The sequence below is a fragment of the Homo sapiens genome, chromosome 1, assembly GCF_000001405.40.
Source record: "Homo sapiens chromosome 1, GRCh38.p14 Primary Assembly".
Lineage (NCBI taxonomy): Eukaryota > Metazoa > Chordata > Mammalia > Primates > Hominidae > Homo > Homo sapiens.
In genome coordinates this window covers 245,021,656-245,041,258 of record NC_000001.11, presented here as the reverse complement: position 1 = coordinate 245,041,258, position 19,603 = coordinate 245,021,656, and the positions used below count along the sequence as shown (strand labels likewise).

At 39.1% G+C, this 19,603-nt stretch overlaps 1 protein-coding gene, 1 long non-coding RNA gene and 1 pseudogene across 24 annotated transcripts in view; all 3 read right to left on the bottom strand.

Moving 5' to 3' along the window:
- Window positions 1-19,603, bottom strand: part of DRC8 (dynein regulatory complex subunit 8) — a 155,548-nt gene that overhangs the window by 83,971 nt on the left and 51,974 nt on the right. The gene's annotated exons all lie outside the window — the stretch shown is intronic.
- LOC107985725 (uncharacterized) lies at window positions 8,640-19,006 on the bottom strand. Of its 2 annotated transcripts, none has more exons than XR_007066990.1 (2): window positions 18,963-19,006; window positions 8,640-10,604 (listed from the first exon to the last, which is right to left on the bottom strand). It is a non-coding gene; the product is annotated as an uncharacterized LOC107985725 (long non-coding RNA). The 2 variants fall into 2 exon arrangements; XR_001737765.2 differs by lacking the exon at window positions 18,963-19,006 and adding an exon at window positions 13,225-14,969.
- RNU6-1089P (RNA, U6 small nuclear 1089, pseudogene) lies at window positions 18,141-18,244 on the bottom strand (annotated as a pseudogene).

Here is a 19,603-nt window from a genome sequence, read left to right as displayed (position 1 = left end):
CACCACTCTCTAGCGACCTCACAGGTACACTATCCTCTTTGCTTTTCTCCAGCATCCTAATCCTTTCCCCTTCAAAGGGCCTTTATATTTGCTCTCCCCTGCTTCACACAGCTGACTCCTAATCTTAAAGTTCTTATCTCGAAAATTACTTCCAGAGACGCACTCCCTGACCAGAACGTCTAAACTATTCCATCCCACCTAAACACACCCCAATTCTCTAATGTATTATCCTACTTTATTTTCTTTATAGCACATTTTGTTACATCATCCTGTTTTATTTACAGTGTAGCATTTATTACTATTTGAAATTGTATTTATTACTTGTTTACTTTTCTATTATCCACCTTTTTCCTCTAAAATATAAGTTCCTGGAGGGCAGAGGCTTTGGCTTTCATTGCTATATTCTAACACCTAGAAAAAGCTCACACTTAATAAGAAATCAAATATTTGTTGAGTAATTCATGTTTGTGTGTTTGTTTTTTATAGACAGGGCCTCACTATGTTGGCCAGGCTGGTCCTGAACTCATGGGCTCAATCGATCCTCCCGCCTCAACCTCCCAAAGTGCTGGGATTACAGGCATGAGCCACCGTGCCCAGACAATAATTAATTTGTAGAACACTTTATAGCTTGAAAAATGCCTTTCACTTAAACAGTACTTTCATATATATCCACTCATTTAATTCTAATGTCAATCTATATTATATTCCCTATTTTAAAAATAAGGAGACTAGAACTTTGAGACGATATCTGACTCGCCCTGCTAGTAACGTAGCTAGTCTGGGGCAAAATTGGAAATTGGTCCTATCCTCTGACTCCTGGACTTGTCTCTCAGCACTTTTTGCAATAACATCTTAGAACAAATCTTGATGGCGAGTGTGATTCAAGGTGAAAAGTAGTGGCAGAGAAAAAGACTCAGGTGCAGACCAGATCCTATGCTGTCTGCATATTTCACCAAGAGGCCTTGGTCATAACAAGGGTTCCATAAATGTTTACTGAATTAATAGACTATGGCATTTTTCTGTGTTGGGAAAGGCCTAAGTAATTCTAAATTCCACATTGCCCAATGGCTGCCGACTGCCCAACAAAATGAGAACAAGCCCACTGTCCTGGAATTTCCTTTTTAAAAATAACACCAAAACGCCGCTTGGCAAAAACCACAGTAATAACATTCACAGGCAAGATTGACCAACGGATGCTACTTGTGGGCCAGAGTTTGAGGGGAATCAATATTTGCACAGTCTTAAAGTATCTCCTCCAAGGTATTTACCAAATACAAAAGGAAAATTCATAACTTTGCTGTGGGGAAACCTGGCAGACACTATCTTAAGCAAGCAATTAAGGTTAACATCATCAGTACTAAAGCAGAGCAACATCATGTATTCCCTGACATGATGCTCTGAGAAGGGCACAAACTCACTTGTGTGTAGTATTCTCGCCAAAAATATACTGGCTCAATCTAATCACAGGAAAATATCTGGCAAACCCAAACTGAGGGACATTCTAAAAAAGAATTCAGCAGGATTTTTCAAAAGTATCAAGGTGATGAAAGAGGAACTGTCACAGACTGGAGGGCTAAAGAGACAAGACAACAGCGCAGGACAGCGTTCTGCACGGATCCTGGGAGAGAGGAGGGAATTCGTGGGAAATTGGTGAAACTCCAGTACATCTCTAGTTCAGTTGATGGTACTGAACCAACGTTAATTTATTGGTTTTGATCATTGTAGTGTAGTTATGTAAGATGTGAATGGGGTGAAGGATACACAAACTCTTTTTTTTTTTTTTTAAGAGGCAGCGTCTCACTCTGTTGCACTCTGAAGTGCAGTGATGCCATCATAGCTCACTGCAGCCTCGAGCTCCTGGGTTCAAGCAATCCAACCACCTCAACCTCCTGAGCAGCTGGAAGCACTGTGCCACCACACTTGGCTTTTTTTTTTTTTTTTTTTTTTTTTTTTTTTTTGTAGAGACAAGGTTTCATTATGTTGCCCATCCTGGGTACTATGTTTTTGCATTTATATAACTCTAAAATTATTTCAAAATAAAATGTTTTTTAAAATACTGGATAGTATTTCACTGTGTAAACATATCACATTTTCCTTATCCATTCATTCGTTTGGACACTTAGGTTAATTCCCTATATTGGCTATTGTGAATAATGCAGTAAATAAGGGGGTGCACTGAAAAGATTAAATTTCAAAATAATGGCATACTAGATTCCTTTTTTCTCTGTGGTCAAGAAATGGAAATTTCTGGTTAATCAAATATTTTTAAAAGAGTTACCACTTTTACACAATATCAGGGATATTAGCCATTTACAATGTAAGATTTTTCTCAAGGTGTTATTTATCTCTTGATTTTATAATTCTTTTTTGGCTTGAAATTTTATTATGTAAAATTTTATTAAATTTTAAAATCTTTCTACTTCTGGCTTTTGTTTTGAGTTATTTTTCCTACTCCAAGTTTATAATGGAATTCATTCATATTTTTAAATACTTAACAAGGTTTTGTTTTAAACCTAGATACTTGTTGCACACAAACTTTATCTTACTATACAGCATGAAGTACAGACCCAATTTTATATTTTTCTAAATAGCTATCCAGTTAAATCTATGTTTTCCTCACACATCAGAGATGCTATTTATATCCTATATTAACTTTCCATATGCACTTGGAACAATTTCTGGATTTTCTATTTCATTGATCCATTATGCCATACTGTTTTAACAATAGAGGATTTGTAGTATGTTTTAATATCAAACAAAGCTAAACTCACCACCCTACTTTTTTTTTTGAGACGGAGTCTCACTCTGTCACCCAGGCTGGAGTGCAGTGGCACGGTCTCAGCTCACTGCAAGCTCCGCCTCCCAGGTTCATGCCTTTCTCCTGCCTCAGCCTCCTGAGTAGCTGGGACTACAGGCGCCTGCCACCATGCCCAGCTAATTTTTTGTATTTTTCGTAGAGACAAGGTTTCACCATGTTAGCCAGGGTGGTCTCGATCTCCTGACCTCGTGATCTGCTTGCCTCGGCCTCCCAAAGTGCTGGGATTACAGGTGTGAGCCACCACGCTGGGCCACCTTACTCTTTATCAGAGTTTTCTTGCCTATTCTTGCTAACTTATTTCTCATATGAAAATTAAAATTCACTTATCTAGGTCCAGAAAAGATCTGGTGATATTTTAATTGAGACTGTGTTAACTTAATAAGTTAATTTAGAATTATTTGGCATCTTTATAATTTCAAGTCCTCTTATCCAACAACATGGTATGTCTATTTGTTCATCTATTTTTATATATTTCAAGTTATCTGAATTATGTAGCATTTATATGGTTTTTGTTATATTTTTGTCTATAAATTTTAGCTTTTTTGTTGCTATTGTAAATGAGTCTTATTTTCCATTATATCATCCAACTGGGCATTGTTTGTATAGGTGAACGCTCTTGATTTCTATGTATTAATTTTATTCCCTACTATACTTTAGCAAATATTATTTTTCTTTGTAGTTTTTCCATTTATTTTCTTGAGGTTTCCAGATATTTAATCATATATCTGTGAATAAAGATAGTTCTTTCTTCTATCTTTTCTACCTTCTACCATTTAACGTCAAATACTTACGTGTCTGTTATCACCTATATAATTATATTGCTTAATACCTCTAGTCAATACTAAATAATAACAGCAAATGCGGATATCTTTATCTTATTCCTGACATTAATGAAAATGCTGTTTGTGCCTTCTTTATTAAGTAAGAAACTAGATTTTGGGCTGAAACACACATATTTTATGCTAAGAAATCATGTCCTTAATTTCTACTTTATCGAGTCTTCAAAATTATGAATGTGTGAATTCTGTCAAATGCCTCTATAGAGATGATCCTATGATTTTTCTTCACAGATCTGTTTATATGATGAATTACATTAATAAACTTCCCAACACAGAACTATTTTTACATTTCTGGAATAAACTCCATTTGCTTATGTGTGCCACTGAATTTTGTTGCTAACATTTTATCTACAATTTTTGTACAGATATTCATAAGATTGTTTTGTAAGATTTTTTAATGCAGTCTTTTTTAAGTTTTTGGTGTCAACATTATACTTACTTTGTATTCTCTGAAAGAGATGAAGTAGCACTAGAGCTAAAATGTTCTTCTTTGATAGAATTATCCTGTGAAACTATCTGGATTGAAGCCTTTTGGTGAGAGAACTCTGAAAACTTGCCTAATGATTCTATGTAAATTGGTGTGTTTAGAGTTTCTATCTTTGTGAGATCAGTTTGTTTTGCTTTTTCATCAATTGATTTTTTAAGTGTGTAATCCAGTGGCTTTAGTATATTCACAAGGTTGAGCTACCATCACCACCATCTAATCCCAGAACATTTTAATCACCCCATAAAGAATCCCCATACCTGTTAGCAGCTACGTCCATCCCTCCCTCCCCTTACCTCCTCACAACCACTGATCTGTGTGTCTACAGATTTGCCTGCTCTAGACATTTCATATAAATGTCATACACATGTGGCCTTCTGTGTCCAGCTTCTTTCACTTAGCAGAATGTTTCCTAGGTTCATCCGCGTTGTAACACACATCAGTACTTCATTCCTTTTATAGCTGAACAATATTCTATTTTATAAATACATCACGTTTCATTTATCCATTCATCACCTGATTGACATGAGTTGTTTCTATTTTTTGGCTAGTATAAATAATGCTACTATGATCATTCATCCACAGGTTTTTGTATGGACATATTTTTTCATTTCTCGTCAGTATACGCCTAGGAATGAATTTGCTGGGTCATATGGTAACTCTACATTTAACTTTCCCAAGAACTACTAAACTGTTTTCTAAAGTGGCTGCACCATTTTATATTTCCACCAACATTTGCTATCTTTCATTTTTAAAATTACAGCCATCCTAGTGGATCTAAAGTAGTATTTCACTATGGTTTTGATTTGCATTTCCCTGATGACTAATGATGCTTAGCATATTTTCATGTGATGTTTTGGCCATTAAATAATCTTCCTTGGAGAAATGTCTATTCAAATACTTTGTCCACATTTTAATTGGGTTGTCTTTTTATTGTTGTCAGTTTTTTATATATTACAGGTACTAGACCCCTTATCAGATATATGATTTGCAAATATTTTCTCCCACTCTGTGGCTTGTCTCTTTATCTTCCTGACAGTGTCCTTTGAAGCACAAAGTTTTTAATTTTGGTGAAATTCAATTTATCTATTTTTGTCTTGGGTTGCTTGTTTTAGGTATCATAGCTAAGAAACCACTGCCTAATCCAAAGTCACAAACATTCACATCAATGTTTTCTTCTAAGGGTCTTACGATTTTAGCTCTTTATTGAGATCTTTTATCTTCTTCTTCTTCTTCTTTTTTTTTTTTTTTGAGACAGAGTCTCGCTCTGTTGCCCAGACTGGAGTGCAGTGGTGTGATCTCGGCTCACTGCAACCCCCGCCTTCCAGGTTCCAGCGATTCTCCTGCCTCAGCCTCCCAAGTAGCTGGGATTACAGGTGTGTACCACCGTGCCCAGCTAATTTTTGTATGTTTAGTAGAAATGGGGTTTCACCACGTTGGCCAGGCTGGTCTTGAACTCCTGACCTCAGGTGATCTGCCTGCCTTGGCCTCCCAAAGTGCTGGAATTACAGGCGTGAGCCACTGTGCCCAGCCCTTTTATCCATTTTGAGTTAATTTTCATATATGGTGTGTGGTAGGGTCCAACTTCATTCATTTGCATGTGGATATTCAGTCATCCTAGCATCATGTGTTGTAAAGACTATTCTTTTTTCTATCGAATTGTCTTGCCGCCTTTATTGAAGATCAATTGACCATAAGTGTAAGGGTTTATTTCCAGACTCAATTCTATTCCACTGATGCATGTGTCTAGCCTTACATCATCATGCCAGTATCACAGTCTTAATTACTGTAGCTTTTCAGTAAATTTTGAGATCGGGAAATGGGAGTCCAACTTTGTTATCCTTTTTCAAGATTGTTTTGGCTATTCTAGGTCCCTTACATTTCTATATGAATTTTAGAATTAACTGTCAATTTGTTTAAAAAAAAAAAAAGGCAACCAGGATTTTGATAGAGATTGCAATGAATCTGTTAATCAATTTGGGGAGTATTGCAATCATAACAATATTAACTCTTCCAATCTATATACATATGACTAGGACTGGTTCTGGCAAATTGTATTTTACTAGAAAGTTGACCATTTTAGCTAGGTGTTCAAATTCACTTGTATAGAGTTGTACAAATGACTCTCATTAGATTTGAAATTTTCCTATGTTTTAATCATTCTGTCTCCCAAGTTATCTTGCATTTGTCCTTTCCCAAATAAGACACTGCTAGTGATTTATCTTTCTATTAAACTTTTGCAAAAAAAAAAAAAAAACTTTCATTTATTGGTTCCTACTGTTACACTGTTTCCCAACCCCATTAATTCTGTTTTTATCTTCATTAATTTCTCCTTTCTGCTTTCTTTCAGTTTACCTATTTTCCCTAGCTTTTTTGAGTTGGATGTTCTGTTCATTTTCTTCATGCTTTCATTTTTCTTTATATAGGCATTTAATGAGTCTTAATTTGGTTGTATCTCATAGATTCTAACATCATTTCCATTTTCTTTTCTTTTTTTTTTTTTTTTTTTTTTTTTTTGAGATGGAGTCTCATTCTGTTACCCAGGCTGGAGTGGAATGGCACAATGATGGCTCACTGCAACCTCTGCCTCCTAGGTTCAAGCAATTCTCCTGCCTCAGCCTCCCAAGTAGATGGGATTACAGGTGCATGCCACCATGCCTGGCTAATTTTGGTATTTTTATTAGAGACAGGGTTTCGCCATGTTGGCCAGGCTGGTCTTGAACTCCTGACCTCAAAAGATTCGCCTGCCTTGGCCTCCCAAAATGCTGGGATTACAGGCATGAGCCACTGCGCCCATCCTGTCATTTCTGTTTTCAAATCTAGTTTCCATTATTGTTATTTTCTTATAAGTTTTCAATTTAATTTTCCTAAAATTTTACCTTTGAACTAAGAAGGGCTTTTTTTATATAGACTTTAAAAATGTTTTCCAGGTTAAGATACAGATTTAGGTATGGAAGAGATTTCCCAGAAAGGGTGTAAATGAAAAGAAGGATGGAGATGAAACTCTAGCAGACATTAATAGTCCAGATAGAAAGATAATCGTCCCAAAGCAGAGGCTGAGAAAAAAGAGTCAGAGGTGTTGGATGAAAACAAAAGATGCCGGCTGTGGTGGCTCATGCCTGTAATCCCAGCACTTTGGGAGGCTGAGGCAGGTGGGTCATTTGAGGTCAGGAATTCAAGACCGGCCTGGCCAACATGGTGAAACCCCATCTCTACTAAAAATAAAAAATTAGCCGGGCATGGTGGTGCACGCCTGTAATTCCAGCTACTTGGGAGGCTGAGGCAGGAGAATCACTTGAACCCAGGAAGCAGAGGCTACAGTGAGCCGAGATTGCGCCACTGCACTCCAGCCTGGGCAAGTGAGACTCTGTCAAAAAAAAGAAAAAAGAAAGAAAGAAAGGAAAGGAAAGGAAGAGAGAAAAGAAAAGAAAACAAAAGACAATCATATGAAAAATAAAGTAAGAGACAACAACCTCAGGAAAAACAGTTTGAACAGGATGGGACGGAGAGATAGAAGTGAAATTACAAATTGCACGTTGAAGAAGGAACAGAGTGCTCAATAAAGAGCAAACTCTTTTTTAAGATTCTTAGCTGTAAAGAGAAAGATAATCATAGGGCCTTAGCCAGGGGTTTTAGTGGGTGGAAATTTTTTAGTTTTGTTTTATATAGAAGGCGTTTGTGGGAGAAGGTATTTCATCCATAATCCTTTATATCCTTTTCCCAACGTAGACAAGGGCATTCCATGCTCACTGCCTCCGGGAGAGGAGAACTCGGCAGAATACAGTTGGCAGGGTAAGTGCCCAGGAAAGCTTTGTTATGAAAAGGGATAGTTACTTGCCAGGGTGTGGCTAAGGCCCATAAGCTACCCACACCGGCACCTGTGGAGACCTCCTTGATTCTGCCTGGCTTTGGGCTGCGGGTTCATAAAGGTCACCAGGTCCAGTTGGGTTGGAGAGCCCGCCGTGTGCCAGCTCTGTGCTGCTCCTTCGCATGCAGTACCGGACTAGCCGTGCTGTGAGGCCGCTCTGAAGCTCACCCAGGATTAAGAACTACTGCTCTGGTCCGCACGCCAATGGATCTACCATCCTAAAGCTAGAGTTTGCTTTCTTTTTTGGGTTTTTGTTTTTTTTTTTTTAATCCTGAAATGTTGCTCAGGCTGGTCTCGAACTCCCAAGCTCAAGCAATCTTCCGTCTCAGCCTCCTGGGTAGCTGGGACAGCAGGCGTGCACCACCACACCTGGCTAGGGTTTTCTTTCTAAAAGCCCAAATCTCATCTTATCCCTTCTCAGCATTTATGGATTTGTATTGCTTACACAATGAAATCCAGGATCCTAGAGCAACAGACAAGATCATTCACTGAATGGCCCCAGCCCACCTTTACAGATTCATTTCCTAATAACACCACACAACTAGTTACATACCCCCAGCTAATATTATCACACTGTATATAGAGAAAAGGCAATGTTGTATGCGTTACAGAACTCAAATAATAAATACATTTTGTCATCAGTAAGTTTATAACTTAGCAGAGACAGAAATACAAGCTTTCAGTAAAAAACAGAAGTACTCTTAGAGTTATGTGAGCAAAGGAAATATGGCATAAATGAGCTCTCAGTAGAAACTGGAGCTGTTACAAAATGTACTCAGTAGTTTTAAGAAAAAATAAACATTTGAGTGTCACTTCTCAGTAATCAAAAACATGAAACAGAAGATGGCGATGGGTTAGGAGCTGGTGTAACTACCATCCCTTTAAATTAACCAAAAGCTTACTTGAATTACAGCACTTACAGCCTGGCTCCTGGACTGGTTTCATTACTGCATGGCACCTCTGAACACTTGTTTCTAACCCCTTTAAAGATAAAAGTAATGAATTCCCATGCTACCTGGGCCCTGCTACTATAAGCAAATCTTCTCCCTTTCACAGCCATTTCAATACCATGCATGCCAGTCTTGTCTTTCTCACCCCTGCCTCTCAGACACCTCGCCTTACTATATATGAAGATGAAATGGATGAAGTTTTGTTACTTCTTCTATCTGTGATATAGAAAACACTGAACTCTATTGCTACAGTTGGCCATGGTAAAGATGGAGTTTACTTGCTCTGTGCATAAAGTGGTATCACTAGTTACTAACCCCTACCTTTCTGCAAATAAATTCAGAGGCAGTTTCAGAATACTCTGGAACTCTCGCATGAATCTATACAAATGTATTGATATCCACAGCTTGGGATTCGGGGAGGAAGGCTTAAAGAGAGACATTCTTTATGTCATGCTTATCAGGAGTAGCAAAGCGATGGTCGCTCTCCCATACCCCATCAGCCCTCCCTGAAGGGGGCCATCCTGTTAACCAACTTCCGCCTGGGACAGTGCTCACCAAGATACCTAAGGAGCCCAAAGCCTTCCTTGGGTCCCTGTGGAGCAAAATCAATAATGCCACTATGTGAGGATAACAGCCACTGCTGTAACAAACTCCAGCCTCCAGTGGCTTAACACAATAGTCATGGAGACGGCTCACATAAAATCCAAAATGGATTTTCCTGATCGGTGGATGGCTTTCCTCCGACAACTCATTCAGGGACCCAGCTCCTTCCATCTTGTGGTTCCATAATTTTCAACATATGGCTTCCAATGTCACTATACTGTATATATCAAGCTGTAAAGGGAAAAGCACCTCCCACGTGGGAGGTTTCCATGGACCGGGCCTAGAAGTAGCACCCATTACCTCCATCCACATTTCATTGGTAAAAACTAGGTCACATGGTCTAGCTAGACCATAATTCCCAGCTCCCCTCTATCTGCAAGAGAATCTGGGAATTACAGTATAGCTATGTGCTCAGGAGGAGAGGAAACAGAATTAGACTATGCAATCTCCACCACAGCCGACCACCATGACATGAATCACTAGCACTACCAGGGAGGGGGATGGTAATAAACCGGTGAGTTTACCACAGAGTTCCAACTGTTGGCCTAGAAACTGTGTTGGAATGGCCTAACACTAGGCTCAAACAACCTCATTAGGATTTGGGGTAACTATATCAGATGAGCAGTAAGGTCTCTGCCAAATCCACACTTCCCTCCCCAGAGTTTCTGAATGTATAGGTTGCTATGCTTTGTACCATTGGACCTGCCTCCCTAGGCACAGATACTTGAACCAGAGATGGCTACTTAACCAAAATAAGGCGTCCCTCTATAGGTGTGCAAGAGAGGGGCTGATGCAGTTGAGCTCTGCTCAACAAAGGCACACACTACTGAATATTGACAAATGACCAAAGCCGACTTTTCTTCTTTTTTCCTTGGGAGTTTTAAAGCAAGACATACAGATGGAAGAGAGATGGAAGAGGAACGGCACAGAGAGAGAAGGCAGGTGCAGAATCACAAAGCATCTGAACCCATGAGGAGGTAGACGCAAAGGAGTAGGAGACACACAGCAGGATCAAATCAGTCGGGAGCAAAATAGGAAGAATCTGGAAAAGAAGAAATAAAAGCAGGTGAGTAGAATCACCAGCATGTTAGATTACCAGGTGATGTGGAGTCACCAGAGTGACTTGAAATACGAGAGCCCCTGTGTTACCCTAATGGCAATAAATGTCCTTCCAGTACACTGAGAGGCTGGAATGCTGCTGAGGGGACTTTTTGCTATTCCTTATACAAATGAATTCCTTGTATTAAATGGCATAGTATTTGCATATAACCTAAGCACATCCTTCCATATACTTTAAATCCTCTCTGGATTACTTATAACACCTTCTATCACTTATACTTATTTCCAAATACGTCCTTACAAGAAACTTGCTCGAACTGAGAAAACTTAAAGAATATTTGGTCCCATCCAACCTGACAGAGCATGACCAACAGAATGATAAAAAGGAGCCCCGTTTCCAAACAAGTGTGGGGCCACAGGAATACACAGTAACACTTTCTGGCTTGTGTCCATTCTATATTTCAAAGCTAATAAAGAAACTACCATGAGCTGTTCTTTGTGGTGCATTTGCATTAAGTCTTCCACACTTTTCGAGTGAATCTAATATTAGATTTCCTCTGTTAAGGAGAATAGGTTGAGGCTGCAGGACGAATGAATCTGGAAGCCACAGAGGGTACACACCCAGAGGCCTCAGGAAGTACACTCTCTGAAACCACCAATCCTCAGACAGCCTCTGGCTCCCCACTTTTGAAATCATACAGCAAAATTTGCACTTGATCAAGACAGTCCAATAAGAACAATAGGCTGGGCACAGTGGCTCATGCTTGTGATCCCAGCATTTTGGGAGGCTGAGGCAGGCGGATCACTTGAGGCCAGGAGTTCGAGACCAGCCTGGCCAACATGGTGAAACCCCATCTCTACTAAAAATACAAAAATTGGCCAGGCGTGGTGGCTCCTGCCTGTAATGCCAGCTACTTGGGAGGCTGAGGCAGGAGAATCACTTGAACCCAGGAGATGAAGGTTGCAGTGAGCTGAGGTCACATCATTGCACTCCAGTCCGGGTGACAGAGCGAGATTCCTTTTCCAAAAAAAAAAACAGGGCTGGGCACAGTGGCTCACACCTGTAATCCCAACACTTTGGGAGGGCTGAGATGGGCAGATGACCTGAGGTCAGGAGTTCCAGACCAGCCTGGCCAACATAGTGAAACCCCTTCTCTACTAAAAACACAAAAATTAGCTGAGCATGGTGGCGGGTGCCTGTAATCCCAGCTACTTGGGAGGCTGAGGCAAGAGAATTGCTTGAACCGGGGAGGTGGAGGTTGCAGTGAGCTGAGATCAGGCCACTGCACTCCAGCCTGGGTGACAGAGTGAGGCTCCATCTCAAAAACAAAAACAGACAGATACCTGTAATCCACAGTCAACCAAAGTTGGCCTCCAAAGATACAGAAATGGCCTTCTTTATTAAAACAGCCAGTAATGGGCCCTGAAGAGGGAAGCCTGAATCCAAATGTTATTTTTCTTGTCACAATGCCATTCCTATTAACTCCCATCTGTAAAGCCTGGAACATAGCCTACTGGGATATCTAGGACCGACCCCATGCCCTTTGTGATGTCCTCCAATACATTAACCCTTATGGCATTTATGCCACTTAGCCTAAGCTTGAACTGGAGAGCTACCTCCATTCCAGATCCCCGAACGCTACAGAAAAGCCATAAAAGCAAGCTTCATCACAGATATGACCCCACTCCATGGGAATCATACCATAGTATGAAAGTAAGTAACCATTTCAGTAAAAACAGGGTATAAGAAAATAATATACCTGCATTTCCTTGTGTATGGCTAGAATCTGGAGTGATCCCTAGAAACTAGTATTCTGGTTGCCAATATTTTAGAGGGAACTGGGTGACTGGTGGAAAAGAGTTACAGGGACTTTTCTTTGAATTTTATTCTCTTTGGATTTAAACATGTGAACATATTATCTATTCAAAAACTTTTAAGCTGTAATCCCCTTTCCTGATTGCTCCTTCATATTCTGTAACTGCTCAAGTTCCACTCCTCTCTCTCAAATCTTACTTCCCCCACATCTTTAACAAACTCCTCTTCCAGTCTCGGTCAGAGTGGGTTTCTTCTTTATCCTGCACACCATCCCACTCTCAGAACGTAACTATAATGATTGACATATCTCTTCTCCCAACAAGAAAAAAAATATTCCTCTTTAAGAAAAGGTAAAGATAAAATAAATTGGGCATCCAGGGTTTATTTTTTGGCAGTGCAGGAGAGAAATAAGATCTTTGAAAAGTTCCACACTAATAATTCTAGCCCAGTCACAATTACAGCAGCATCATATTACAAACAACCTACATTTCTAAAATTAGGAAATATGTTAAATTCTAGTATAGTTACACATTGGAACACTTCTTAGCCATGAGAAATGATTGTGTAAATTTATAAGATGTCATTCAAGTAAAAAGTATTCAAGCACAAAAAAAACATGTAAAAGATAAAAGAGGCTCAGCATGGTGGCTGACGCCTCTAATCCCAACACTTTGGGAGGCTGAGCAGGCAGATTGCTTGAGCCCGGAAGTTCAAGCCCAGCCTGGGCAACATAGGGAGACCCTGTCTCTACAAAAACTAAAATTTAGCTGGGTGTGGTAGCGTGTACCTGTGGTCCCAGCTACTCAGGAGGCTGAGGCAGGAGGATCGTGTGAGCCCAGGAGGTCGAGGCTGCAGTTAGCCGTGATGGCACCACTGCATTCCTGCCTGGGTGACAGACGGAGACCCAGTCTCAAAAACATCCATGAGCACTTCCTGAAAAAAAAAAAAAAACTGACAAGAGAATCAACACACAAAAATAAATCAAAGAATTCAAGGATGGAGAAAAAAATGAGAAAATGTGGTTAGTGGTAATTTCATTCAAATATACAAAACTACTAAAATATGTGTGAATACTAAACAAAGTATGAACATTCTACCTTGTCAGTGTAAAAATAAAAATATACCTAAGATAAATTGGGGGTTGGGAGAGAAAACGTAGACAGAATTTTGGAAGTGCTAATGTCCTTATCTTTCACAGCAAGGAATCAACTGACACTTTTTATATTCGAAATAGATAGTTTAAAAAAACACACAAGGACTACAGTCTCTTAATGTTTTTCTCAAAATCTTTTCTGAACTTAAAATAAATATCGTCTCTTATGGCTAACAAACATTTGAGATTCCACAATTTCTTCAACTTAATTTTTTTTCTTTTGTCCCAGTCAAGTAAAATTAAAGTAAGTCCTTCCCACATGAAGATTATATCCTAGATTTTTTCTTCAATATCTTTTTCCTTCCTTTCCTTTCCTCCTTCTTCCTTTCTCATTAATTTCCCACCCTTCTATCCACTTATTTTATTACACAGGGATAGAAAGAGCTCTAGAATAATAGTAGTCTAACATTAAAAATTATTATTTCAGGAAGTAGAATTTGGAATGACTTTAAAAAATTCTCTTTGACTCTTTTCTTTAATCCCAGTTCATCAAAAGGACCATGATAAGAAACCAATTTTTAACAAAGCAACTACAAAGTGAGATGGTAAAGAGATAAGATATAAATCACTCTTTTAAAAATATTTATTTTTATGTGTAGTTGTACAGTATTTCAGAGAAAAGTACAGGAGAAAATACGACAGCCAATACCAAGATTTAACAGATGTTAACATCTTGCCACATTTTCTTCAGAATTTTTTTCCTGACAAGAAAGCATTGCAGAAACAGCTAACATTCCACTCCTCATCCCTTCTCCTTTCATCTTCAGATGCAATCACACCACTATTCTGAGGATAATCCTTATCATTTCCATGCATATATTTGTATTCATAAACAATATTTACTATTATTTTGTGTATTTAAAGTGTATATATATGGTACTATGTTTCCGTCCTTTTGTAATTTTTTAAATTCAACGTTGTTTTTTGAGATTTATCCAAGTTACACATGTAGTCTTAGTTCATCATTCACTTCATTCATACATGTGAACAATCACTGCATGAATAAACCTGTTTTTACAATTCATTTCTTATTGAGGGGTGTGTGGACCCAGCAATTCCCATTCCTCTTCCATGTTTTTCCATTGCACAAATGCAGACCCAGTATCGATAACAGTTTTTATAAAGCTCTCTGAGTAGCTTCCAGCTTTCTCAGATAATAACTGTCTTGGGGGAACTGTCCATGCAATCTCTCCACATTGCTCACACTTTCTACTACCTGATAAACATGAATTGCGAAATGTTATTTTAATATCTCTTCAAAACAGCACTATATGTGAAGAAGTAAAAGTAATATTTATGGTACCTCCAGTGCTCCTAGGAAAAGTTATTTCTAATCCATTACAAATAAGTTATTGTTACTATTTCTTACAGAATTTTAGACAGGACCTAGTACACTCAAGGTTCCTGCCAATTGCTAACGAAGCTGAAGTCTCCCTATCAGTAAAAGAAATAAATATTGGATACCAAGAGCCTCAGAGACTTATACTGAGTTGAAGATGGAAGCAATGAAAAAAGAGACTCACTGTATTAGCAAGTGGATACTTGGTGCTGCTGGACTGCAAAATTTGTCTAAAGATTAAGAAAATATTAGGGAAAATCTCCTATAGATAGGGCAGGTATAAAGTAAACACAGTGTACTAGTCCATTCTCATACCACTAATACTGCTATGAAGAAATACCCGAGACTGGGTAATTTATAAAGAAAAAGAGGCTTCATGGATTCACAGTTCCACATGGCTGGGGAGGCCTCACAATCATGGTGGAAGGCGAAGGAGGAGCAGAGGCACATCTTACATGGCGGCAGGAAAGAGACCGTCTGCAGGGGAGCTGCCCTTTATAAAATCATCTGATTCACTACCACAAGAACAGCATGGGAAAAACCTGCCCCTATGATTCAATTACCTCTTACCGGGTCCCTCCCACAACATGTGGGGATAATGGCAGCGACAATTCAAGATGAGATCTGGGTGGGGACACAGTGAAACCATATCACACAGAATAGTCTGGAATACTAAAAATAAGGTCGCACTGTAAAGGCATTGAAGCATAGGAACAGGACAGATGGGTGTGGCTTGGGAAAGGGGAAAGATTGGCACTTTTATTCCAGGATTGGGCCCCATCTCATTTTAGCTCACCAAATTCTTGAGTATCAACCTGTTCTGAAATTGATTAGAATGGAGTGTTAAAAAAAGTAAGTTGATATTTTTTATTTGATATTCTTATACTCTTGTGGCTTAAGTGGTGCTGGCATTTTTATTTCAATTTTATAGATAAGGAAAATGAAATAAAAAGAGGGTGACACATAGAAAATGCATGATAGAGCCAGCAACTGTCTCTACGGACTTGTGGTGTACTTTTATTCCATTAGATTACAAAAAAACTGGATTTGTTTGTGAATAAGATTAGAGTCATTTTCAAATTAAATTTATCAGCTACATGGAAAAATTATCTTCTTTACCTTAGAGGCACTCCTTGTGGGTGTATTTTGTCCCCACCAAATTAGCTTTATTTAGGGGAACCTAAATTTATTCTACTAAAACTACTCGAAATGACATTCGTTTGTTTCCAAAAATTAAATCCATACTCCAAAGGTGTGTAATTTGACTAAATTAAAAAAAAAAATCTGCATGCCAGAAAGTAAAAGTAGAGTGAAAAGATAGATGACAGACACATCATGACTAAGGCTGAGACCTTTCATATAGAAAAAGATCAATAATTCAGTGGGAAGAAATGGGGAAAAATCATAAACTGTCAGGTCAAACAAAAGGAAATACAAACAGTTTTAAGAGATATGAAAGATGTTCTAATTTAGAAAATGAAAATTAGGCTGGACATGGTGGCTCACGTCTGTAATCCCAGCACTTTGGGAGGCCAAGGTGGGTGGATCACCTGAGGTCAGGGGTTCGAGACCAGCCTGACCAATATGGTGAACCCCCATCTCTACTAAAAATACAAAAATTAGCCAGGTGGACACAAGCCTGTGATCCCAGCTTCTCAGGAGGCTGAGACAGGAGAATGGCATGAACCCAGGAGGCAGAGGTTGCAGTGAGCTGAGATCGTGCCACTGCACTCCAGCCTGGGCAACAGAGCGAGACTCTGTCTCAAAAAAAAAAAAAAGAGAAAGAAAAGAAAAGAAAAAGAAAATTAACACTGAGTTTCTATTTTTCACATATTAGATTGGGAAAAAATCCCAATGCTTGATAATTAAAGCTTGTTTCAGAAGGACTGAAGAAACTGGTACTCTCACACAAGATGAGAGACTCTATCATCAAGATAGCAACATCTACCAAAAATTGTCAAGCCCTTTGACATATTTCCAATAATTTACCGAGAAAAAGTTCTCACTTTTGTGAGATGATATGCATGCTAAGATATTCTCTGCAGCATGAGCTATTATAGCAAAAGCCTGGAAACAACTTAAACGTCCATTAGTAAGGAGATTAATTCAATATATTATGATTCATCCATACAATGAAATAAGGATAATTTTTTTTTTTTGAGATAAGAGTCTCGCTCAGCCGCACAGGCTGGAGTGCAGTGGCACAATCTCGGCTCACTGCAACCACCGTCTCCCGGGTTCAAACGATTCTCCTGTCTCAGCCTCCCAAGTAGCTGGGATTACAGGCACCCGCCATCATGCATGGCTAATTTTTGTATTTTTAGTAGAGACGGGGTTTCACCATGTTGGCCAGGGTGGTCTTGAACTCCTGACCTCAGGTGATCTGCCCACCTCGGCCTCCCAAAGTGCTGGGATTACAGGTTTGAGCCACTGCGCCCAGCCAATTTTTATATATTAATAAATAGTCAAGATATATTGATAAGTAAAAAAAGCAGAGTGCAGAATGGTTTATATAGTATCATACCATTCACGTTAAAAATAAACACATATCCTACAACTCAAAAACCAACAAAATAAAACAACCTGGTTTAAAAATGGGCAAAGACTAGACACTTCTCCAAAGAAGATGTACAAATGGCCAATAAGTACATGAAAAGATGTTCAATATTACTAATCATTAGGAAAATGCAAATCAAAGCCCCAGTGAGATACCATTTCACACCCAGTAGGATGGTTATTAGAGAAACAACAATAACAACAACACCCCCCTCCAAAAAACCAACAGAAATGACAAGTGCTGGCAAAGATGTGGAGAAAACAGAATCTCTGGGCATTGCTGGTGGGAATGCAGCATGGCGCAGCCGCTGTGGAAAACAGTACAGTGGTTCCTCAAATATCAAACACAGAACTACCACATGATCCAGCAATTCCACTCCTGGATATGCACCCAAAAGAATTAAAAGCAGAGACTGGAACAGATATCTATACACCAGTATTCATAGCAGCATTATTCACAACAGTCAGAAGATGAAAACAACCCAAATGTCCATCAATACACAGATGGATGAACAAAATGTGGGATATAAATACAATGGAATATTATTCAAAAAAGGAATAAAATTCTGACGCATGCAACAAGATGGATGAACCCTGAGAACATTACGCTACGTGAAATAAACCAGACACAAGACAAATATTGTTTGTTTGTATTTTAAAAATGGAATGCTTCACAAATTTGCATGTCATCCTCGTGCAGGGGCCATGCTAATCTCTGTAGCGTTCCAATTTTAGTATATGTGCTGCCCAAGCAAGCACAGGAAGGACAAATATTGTACTCTTCCATTGATATATGAGGCACCTAAGATAATGAAACTCATAGACACAGAAAGCAGAACGGTGGTTGCCACAGGCTGCGAGAGGGTGGGATATGGAATTATTGTTAAATGGGTACAGAGTTTCAGTTTGGGAAGATGAAAAAGCCTAAAATGGATAGCGGTGATGGTTGTAGAGTAATGTTAATGCCACTGCATTCTGTACTTAAAATGATAAATTTTAGGTTATCTATATTTTACCACAGTAAAAAATACACACATGCACACACACACACACGCACACGCACATGCACATGCATACTCATACATATTTGCATGGAGAATCTCTGGAAGAATTAGAGAAAACTGTAACAAACTTTGCCTTTAGAAAGGGGAACTGGATAGGTAAAAAAGAGATTTATTTATCACTATATATTATTTCTACCTTTAGAATTTTATCCCATGTACATATATCATCTATTCAAAAATTTAATTTTCAATCAGTCTTCTTAACTTCTAAACACAGAGCAGGAAAATATATATAAATGAAAATGTGGCTGGGTGCGGTGGCTCATGCCTGTAATTCCAGTACTTTGGGAGGCTGAGGCGGGCGGGTCACTTGAGGCCAGGAATTCGAGACCAGCCTAGCTATCATGGCAAAACCCTGTCTCTACTAAAAGTATGGAAAAAAAAAAAAATTAGCCGGGGGTGGTGGCACACACCTGTAATCTCACTATTCCTGGTACTTGGGAGGCTGAGGCAGGAGAATCGCTTGAACCCAGGAGGTGGAGGTTGCAGTGAGCCGAGATCACTCCACTGCGCTCCTGCCTGGGCAATAGAGTGAGACTGTCTGGAAAAAAAAAAAAAAAGTCTGTGTTTTATATGAGGCAAAATCAGAATGTCCCTAATTAGTGATATTGAAAACCTGCCCAATGTTTTTCAAGGCGCTAGCTTTCGAAAACTATTTAACAAGGAAATGAAAAAGGAAAATAAAATGCTTCAGATCTTAAGAGATCGATATGGAACATACGGAAATAAGTAAAAAGTTCTAGCCAGGTGTGGTACGTGCTTATAGTCCCAGCTCGGGAGGCTGAGACAGGAGGATCGCTTGAGCTCAGGGTTTCAAGGTCAGCCTGGGCAACATAAAGAGAGCTTGTCTCTAAAACAAAATATGTATTTTAAAGTTCTTATGAGAGTTTTGTTACATACAGCATAACATTGCTCATCCAGATTAAACAGGGGCAAAACAAGTCTGAGTTATTTACTTTAAGAACATAAAATGGGGCCAGGCACAGTGGCTCACGTCTGTAATCCCAGCACTTTGGGAGGCTGAGGCAGGCGGATGACTTGAGGCCAGGAGTTT